Raw genomic sequence first — 8,598 nt, forward strand, 5'->3', positions numbered from 1 at the left:
AAAGGCATGAGCCACTGCACCCGGTCGCAGGTGTGTTTTCTTGAGCCAAAGGCCTCCACTTGCCCTGTCCCTCCCTACTCCTTCCCCAAGCACTGGTCCATCCAGGCCTCCCTCCGCTCCCTCCAGGCCACATCCATGCTGTGGGCAATGTGACGCCCATCAGGCCCAGTAAACACCGGAAATCAGTGAAGCAGGGAGCAAAGGTCGGGGTGAGGCCAACTCTTTTTGGTGTCAAAGGAGATTACGAGTCCGGCTCTCAAAGTTGAGGGCTGGGGCCAAAATCAGCCTGTGATCCCAAGTGGGATGAGTTCAGAGGTCGCCAGCTGGTTCCTTTGTGTGTCAATATTAACATGAGAGTCACCTAATTGGGGTGGGTCAGCCAGTGGCCAGAGCCAGGACACACATCAGGAGAAGAGAAAGGGCCCGATCATGCCCCAGGCAGTGTTGGGTGCTTGGCATAAGCCAGCTCATTCATTATATTAATATTACTACTAATAATACTAATATAGGAGTAGTAGAAGAATATCAGTGGCCACATACATTGAGTATCTATTAAGTTCAGGCTTGGTGGCTGGCACTTAATTCATTAACTGGCCTCATCGTTCCAACCTCTCTAAGAATTAGATTCTGTTGCTCCCTCATCCTACAGTCAAGGAAACTGAGGCTCTAAATGGTAAACCAGTGAGCCGTGTTCACACAACGCGAATGGAGGAGCAGAGACTTGGACCCAGCCGTCTGTCTCCTCGCAACACAGGGATGACATCTCCGTTTTATTGACGAGGAAAGCAAGTCTTCCAGATGGATCAAGGCTGTCCAAAGCCACACAGCTAGTCAGTGACAGGGCTGAGTTACAAACCCAGGTAGGTCTTCTCCAGAGCCCACAATATCCTTATTTTATTTTATTCTTTTCCTGTCTCAAGAAAAGAATAAAAGGCTGGAGTGCCTTTCATATCTCAAATGCTCAGTAGCCTCATGAATAAAATGGGGATATTAATATTCCCCCTCAGTGCAGATGCAACATGAAAATATGTGTTAAACCTTTGCACATGCTGTTCCTTCTGCACAGAATGCTTTTCCTTGTTAAAATTAGCATCTTCTTTGTTAACCTAGTATATAACCTGGACTCTAGGCTGGAGTACAGTGGCATGATCATGGCTTACTGCAGTCTTGAACTCCTGGGCCTCAGCCTCCTGAGTAGCTATGACGACAGATGTAAGCTAATTAACCAGTCCTGGCTAGTTTTTAATTTTTTTTTTTTTATAGAGACAGGGGTCTCACTATGTTACCCAGGCTGGTCTCAAACTCCCGGCCTCAAACAATCCTCCTGTCTAGGCCTCCTGAGTCACTGGGATTACAAGTATGACCCACCACACCCAGCCTTCATCTCATTCCTTTTAAGCTCATCTCTTCTATGGGTTCTTTGAAGGCCAGTTGTCCTTCTGTGTGCCACTGTTCCTGCCTTCCTGGACCTAAGGGAACAGTGACTGTCCATTGGCTGATGGATGAAGACCTGCCATCTGCATGGCTCAGGCTAGTCATATAGAGACCAATGCTCATCTCCATTGGTTTTGGGTCGAATGAACCCACGTGGACACTTGCTGGAATCATAGCATCCTAGTAATTTCAGATGCTCACTTCTATGTAGGCTGAGTCCAAAGAAACACTACTTACCTAAAACTTTTTTTTTTCAATTTTTAGTTTTTATCTTTGGAGACAAGGTCTTGCTCTGTCACCCAGGCTGGAGTGCAGTGACAGGATCCTAGCTCACTGCAGCCTCTAACTCCTGGGCTCTAGCCATCTTCCTACCTCAGCTTCTCAAGTAGCTAGGACTACAGGGACGCACCACCACACCCAGCTAATTTTAAAAAATTTTTTTGTAGAGATGGGGGCCTCGCTATGTTGCCCAGGTTGGTCTCACCCTCCTGGGCCCAAGCAATCCTGCCATGGCCTCCCAAATCACTGGGATTACAGGCCTGAGCACCCAACCTCCTAAAACTTCTGATTAGAGTCTAGTGCAATAGCAGTTAATGCATTGACCATTTCTCAAAGGTCTGTTCTGTGCAGGGTACTGGAGACATAGTGGTGAGCAGAAACTGACACTTCCCTGTCCCCCTGGAACTTACATTCTAGTGGGGGAGGTGGACATTAATCACATAGTCATGCCTAGAATGACACATTGATTCTTTAATGAAAGCTCCAGAGGATGGGACAATTTCACAGAACAACGGGCCTTGGCCAACGAGGTTAGGGAGATAGCTCTGACAAAATGACTCTTGAGCTGAGACTCTGAAGATGAATAGATGCTAAGTCAGCAAAGAAGAGAAGGAAGAGCATTCTGTGCAGAAGGAACAGCATGTGAAAAGGTTTAACAAACATTTTCCTGTTTCATCTGCACTGTGAGGGGAGATATTAATATCCCCAATTTACAGATGAGGCTACTGAGACTTTGAGAGATGAAAGGCCTCGCCCAAGGGCGTCAGGTCTGGAGGGAGCAGCAGGAATTTGATCCAAATCTGCCTGCCTCGGCCCCAGCAGTCTGATGCCACATTTTGACACTCTATTCCACACTGGTGCTTAGAAATAGCATCACATGGCCGGGTGCAGTGGCTCACACCTGTAATCCCAGCACTTTGAGAGGCGGAGGCAGGTGGATCACTTGAACTCAGGAGTTCGAGACCAGCCTGGCCAACATGGTGAAACCTTGTCTCTACCAAAAATACAAAAATTAGCTGGGCGTGGTAGCGCATGCCTGAAGTCTCAGCTACTTGGGAGGCTGAGGCATGAGAATCGCTTGAACCCGGGAGGCAGAGGTTACAGTGAGCCCAGATTGTGCCACTGCACTCCAGCCTGGGCGACAAAGCTAGACCATGCCACAAAAAAAAAAAAAAAAAAAAATGGCATCACATGATGATGGGAGGAAAGCTGCTTTTGGGAAAAAAAAAATAATGCAAACAGGCCAGACATTTGTGTCTGACGGAGCTTTTTAAGTTGCTGTAGTAGAAACCCAACTCACACTGACTTAAGCAAAAAAAAGGAAATTTATTGTCCCATGTAACAAGAATCCAGGATGGAAGACTTTGGGCTCAGCTGGACCCAGAGGCTGAAACAAGATAATCAGGGCTTTGTGTGTGTGTTTCCCTTCCCCTGATCCTGCTTCCTGGGTGTTAGCTTCCTTCTCAAGTCCCACGAGATGGCCCCCGGAAGTCTCTTACTTACCCCCTCCTCGCTGTTAGCAGTTGCTGAATTTCGAGAGACTCCTCTTTCCCAGCCGCTCCAGGAAAATGTCCCTGGGTTGGCTCCGATTGGACCAACTTGGTCATGTGCCCATCCCAAAGCCAATCAGTGTAGTTAGAGAGCTGAAATGTTCTAATTGACCAAACCTTGGTCACCTGCCTATCCTGGAACCAATCAATGAGGCCAGGGGCTGGACTCCTTTGGTGGGTGCTGGGTCATGTGATCACCCTTGTATCGGAAGATGGTTCAGCCTCACCCAAGCTCTATGGACTGAGCATGTAGGAAAATGGGAACAAGGAACAGGGAATGCTGGAAAGGAAAAAAAAAATGGCTGGACCCCCAAAAAACTCAAAATAGAAAAGTCAGCCAGGCGTGGTGGCTCACGCCTGCAATCCCAGCACTTTGGGAGGCTGAGGCAGGTGGATCACTTGAGGTTAGGAGTTCGAGACCAGCCTGGCCAACATGGTGGAACCATGTCTCTACTAAAAATATAAAAACTAGCTGGGCGTGGTAGCACATGCCTGTAATCCCAGCTACTCGGGAGGCTGAGGCATGAGAATCGCTTGAACCCGGGAGACAGAGGTTGCAGTGAGCCAAGATCATGCCATTGCACTCCAGCCTGGGTGACAGGGAAAGACTCTGTCTTAAAAAAAAAAAAAAAGGAAAAGAAAAGAAAGCTTGGGTTTTATTGAACACAGGGATGCTTATGAAGATAATTTAACTTGCCCTGCCCTCATGAGGGCTCTGTCCAGCAAGCATCCCAGAGAGTCATAGCATCATTTAATTTCCCAAACTTTTATGGTTGAATCTCCCATTTTTATCTCATACCCCGGGTTTATCCCAGTTTCTGCTAGAAATTAAGATGCTCCCTACTTCTGAAACTGCCAGTTCTCTCTCTGGATGGTTTCTCTACCTCATCTGGAAAATGGAGATCATTCTAATACCAACCTCACACACTTCAGGGGTCGTGTAAATAAATAAATTTAGCCCAATACATAGGCACATAGCATTATGTCAGTGTTAGTGTTAGAGCTTTATCACGCCCATTTTGCAGACACATAGCCTGAGGCTGAGAAAGAAAACACAGCTTGCTTTGGGCTACGTAATGGTTGGTGGAATCAGACGCAGCCAGATGTGGGTCTTCAAAGCCTGAGCTTTGTCATCTCACCTCTGGAAGGGTAAATCTATGTTGTTTGTTGTCGTTTTTCCTTTAGCTGCTTGGGCCAATTCATAGAATGGATGCATTTATGCACACCTCATTTTAATCACAATTCTGATTAGAAGATCCCTTAGACATGGATTCATCCACACATGGGTAAGCCGAGGGAATGTATCCATCACTAGAAATTAATGCTGTGTTCTACTGTGCCCTACATGAGAATCAGAATCATCAGGTCTAGCAGGTAACTGGGATGGGAGCACAAGGCAGGGATGCGAAGGAGACATCCCATGTAAGGCACTTTCAGAAAACTGCTCTAAGTGCTTTTAAAGGCCATTACAGTGGCTACTCTTTCTTGAGTACCTACTATGTGCAAAGTACATTAACACAGTCTCATCAAATCTTCCAACAGCCATATGAGGGAAGTATTATCATGCACATTTTAGAGTGAGGAAACAGGTTCAGAGAAGTGAGGTGACTTGTGCAAAGTTGCAGTTACATGGTGGAGCCAAGATTGGAACTAAGGTCTGTCTCCAACTGCCCCAGGAATCAATGTCATAACTCTGACCTTCCTTCTTCTCTTAGGATGTCCTATGGTTTACATAGCTGGTTCTTGATTGATTGATGCTTAAACGGGTTCTGGTTTTTCAGCAGGGCTGGGCATTTGCGCGACTCCAAGAATGGACCCTTCCTTAAAGTTTGGGCCTTCGGCACCTCTCTTGCCTCACCTGGTTCCACTCTTGTTTTGTTTTTTGTTTTTTTTTGTTTGTTTGTTTTTGTTTGTTTTTTTGAATAACAGGCAACATGTTGATTCAACAAGCATTTACTGAACACCTGCAATCTTAAATTAGACTCCCTTTCTAGAAAGAGCCTTAGAGCTTTAGGATTCACATGAAGTCTTTTATGGAGGCTGTGTTTGCAGGAGAAACCCACGAGAGGTTAGGGAAGCAGGGCTGAGCAGGAGAAGAATCTGGGCAGACATGATTGTAACTAGAGTCCAGCCTCAGTCAGATCCCATAGGGAACTGTGGGGTGTTACTGGTCACACAGAGTTGCCCCCATCCCTGAGGCCAAGGGCTGGCTTTTTGTACCCCTGTATCAAACAGCATTGGCTGTGGGCCGCCTTAGGGGCTGCACGTGGCAAAACTTCCTACTCAATGGCAGCTCCCATTAGCAGAGCTCTGGTTCCTTCTCTGGGCAGCCTAGAGGAACAGTGAGGGACAGGTCCATGAGTAAAGAGATCTGAGTGGGATACCAGCAGCATCTACTATACCTACTATGTCTTGGGCACTGTTTGCCCTTGTGGTATTACCTACATCATCCAGAAGGGCTATCATTTGCCTAACATTTTAGACATGTGGTCAAACTGAATTCTCCCTACAATCCTATGAGGCAGATACAGCCCATTTAACAGATGAGAAAGATAAGACTCAAGGAGATGTTGGTACCAGAGCTGAGAAAAACACAAAGCCCATCTTCTGTCTCTGAGTCCGGTCCGCAGGTCTGGGCAGCTCCCTGCTGTGCTGTCTGTCCTCTGCCTTTGAGAAGGTCAGCAGGGAGGTGGAGACCCAGCCAGCAGCAGGCAATAGCTGTAGCCGGGGATGGCTTTAATGGCCCTGGCATTGGCTGACATTTGGGTTTCACTCTCTGTGGGAAGTGCACTAATTACTCCTGTTCACTCAGAAGTCCAACTTAACTACTGCTTGGGTTTTATGGAGTGCTTTGGGGTTGCCATTTCTTCAGACCACGATGGTGACAGGGAGACTTGCCTCTTCCCGAGTCTCCAGTGGTGGCTCGCATGTGGACCATTTACAAGCCAGATGCTGGGGGAGCCTCCTTGATCTGTTCTCTCTGTGCCAGGCACATCATACACAGCTCTGTCACCCTCCCAACCATCCTAGGAGGTAGGTTCAACAAATCCACCCCATTTGGCAGATGAAAAGACTGAGGTCCAGGGAGGGTAAATGGTTGCCCCAGCTCCCTGAGCTAGGAAGTCTGACGTCGGAGCCTGGATGGTCTCGACATCATGGTCTCAGCCTTTCTGACGGCCCTCAGCTCCCACAGGGAGAACTCTTCTCATTACCTGTGCTAGGTCTGCAAGGAAGATACTGAGAGCCCCACTTGGTAGGTGGGAAACTGAGTCAAGAAGCCATAGAGCAAAGAGGTGAAAAGCACAGGCCACGATGAAGTTAGACTATCTGGTTGGTAGCCTAGCCTCCTTACACACCAGCTGTGTAATGTTGTGCACCTCTCTGGACCTCTGTTTTTCATCTGTTGGGAGAATGAACTGTAAGGACAACAAACGGAGAATGGAAAGTTCTTGGCACATGCTGGCGATTGCTAGGGTAATGAGTCCAGGGTGAGTTTGGGGCACTACTTTATTTATTTATTTATTTATTTATTTATTTATTTTTTTGAGACGGAGTCTCGCTCTGTCGCCCAGGTCGGACTGCGGACTGCAGTGGCGCAATCTCGGCTCACTGCAAGCTCCGCTTCCCGGGTTCACGCCATTCTCCTGCCTCAGCCTCCCGAGTAGCTGGGACTACAGGCGCCCGCCACCGCGCCCGGCTAATTTTTTGTATTTTTAGTAGAGACGGGGTTTCACCTTGTTAGCCAGGATGGTCTCGATCTCCTGACCTCATGATCCACCCGCCTCGGCCTCCCAAAGTGCTGGGATTACAGGCGTGAGCCACCGCGCCCGGCCTGGGGCACTACTTTATGTCCCCACCTCTCCCGCTCTATGCTCTACCTGACCCCCACCTTAGTTCCTGGGTCTTTGCCCCAAAAAGCAACTGCTCTTAAGAAACTCTCTCACTTCAACAAGTGTCCTGAGTTCCTGTGACTGGGGACTGCCAAGATTTCTGCCTTTGGGGAAAAATATCATGCAGGGAACAGATACAGGAGTTGCTTCCAGGGAAAAGGGGGAGGGGTTTCTCAGTCTCGTGTTAGAGACATGCTAGTTTCTCATCACATGTTAGACAAGAAGGAATTGCTTTATCCAATGGTCCCCTCCCCATGCCCCATTTTATAGGTGGGGAAACTGAAATGGCATCAACAAATATTCACTGATGAATGAATGAATGAATGATTGAATGAATGAATGAATTAGTCACACATGAAAACAGGAGGCAACACCTGCCAAGCCCTAGGCCAAAGGCTGGGATCTGGCAGTGAGCAGAGCTGCCTGGTAAGGTGACTCAGCCTGTGTTCTGCAGACCTTTGTGGATGCTGGTCACTGGTCACAAGGTGGCAGGTGCCTCCAGAGTGGCCCTAGGTCTAGGACACAGTCTTTGCTCCCAAGGAGTCCATGAATGGCTAGTAGAGACAAAAGACGACCATTCCACGTGATAAATGAAATACAGTTGGCTCTCCATATATCCATGGTTTCACATCTGTGGATTCACCCAACCTTGGATAAAGAATATTTAAAAAAAATAACAAATGCCAATATACAATTTTAAAAATGCAAAAAATATGGTATAACAAGCATTTACAGAGTGTTTACATTGCATCAGGTATTATATGTAATCTAGAGACAATTTAAAGTATGAGGAGGATGTGTGTAAGTTACATGAAAATACTATTCCATATAGTATATGCCTTATATCAAGGACTTGAGCATTCATGGATTTTGATATCTCTGTGTGTGGTGGGAGAGGGGTGGGTGTCCTTGAATGAATTCCCCATGGATACTGAGGGACAATTACAATAACGGTAGGAGGAAGCACCCATTACATGCAGGGCACCACTCTAGGTATCAGTTGCATCTTCTCAGTAACTCTCAAAGACGGTGTTACCATTCCCATTGCATAGATGAGGAAATGGAGGCTCAGAGATGTTAGGTAATATGCCCGAAGTCACACAGGACACAGTTGATATGGAATCCAAACCCAATCTCTTTAGGTCCAGAACTGCGTGGCTGGGACTGGGGACTGCCCACCTCTTCCCTCTGCCCTTGAGGGGAAATAAGTCTCTGAAGAGGCAGGAATGTGAGCCAGCTGAGGTTTCAGCTCTGGAATGTGGTACCCGGATGGGCAGCAGTCAAAGCAAAGCCCATCCAAGCCAGAAGCTTCTTAGCAAACTCCCTCCTCCTCCCCATCTCCTCCTGGGACGGGATTCAAACTGAGCTTAGCCCCTTTGTGTTCCGTCTGGAAAGCAGATATCCTGCCCCCATGGGGGCTCCGGCTTCCATCCCACCCCCTACCT

The 8,598-nt window shown here is 47.6% G+C and overlaps 1 long non-coding RNA gene across 2 annotated transcripts in view, besides 2 other annotated features; it reads right to left on the reverse strand.

The window, feature by feature from the left end:
* The window catches only part of LINC01234 (long intergenic non-protein coding RNA 1234), a 29,107-nt gene extending 25,822 nt beyond the window's left edge, over positions 1–3,285 (reverse strand). For both annotated transcript variants that reach the window (NR_110025.1, NR_110026.1), the window contains exon 1: positions 3,217–3,285. This is a non-coding gene — a long non-coding RNA (long intergenic non-protein coding RNA 1234). The remainder of the gene's footprint in view (positions 1–3,216) is intronic.
* Positions 1,966–2,135: an enhancer, noted in NCBI's record as "experimental_24661 CRE fragment used in MPRA reporter constructs". NCBI's record gives its function as "activates a minimal promoter by MPRAs in K562 erythroleukemia cells, with activity observed for both the introgressed and non-introgressed 12:114210254 variant alleles {active_cell/tissue: K562}" and the evidence as "EXISTENCE:reporter gene assay evidence [ECO:0000049][PMID:34662402]".
* Positions 6,980–7,479: an enhancer, noted in NCBI's record as "H3K4me1 hESC enhancer chr12:114215183-114215682 (GRCh37/hg19 assembly coordinates)". NCBI's record gives its function as "activates a minimal SCP1, AML or CMV promoter by ChIP-STARR-seq in primed H9 embryonic stem cells {active_cell/tissue: H9 hESC(primed)}" and the evidence as "EXISTENCE:reporter gene assay evidence [ECO:0000049][PMID:30033119]".

Source organism: Homo sapiens, chromosome 12 (assembly GCF_000001405.40).
Source record: "Homo sapiens chromosome 12, GRCh38.p14 Primary Assembly".
Classification (NCBI taxonomy): Eukaryota; Metazoa; Chordata; class Mammalia; order Primates; family Hominidae; genus Homo; species Homo sapiens.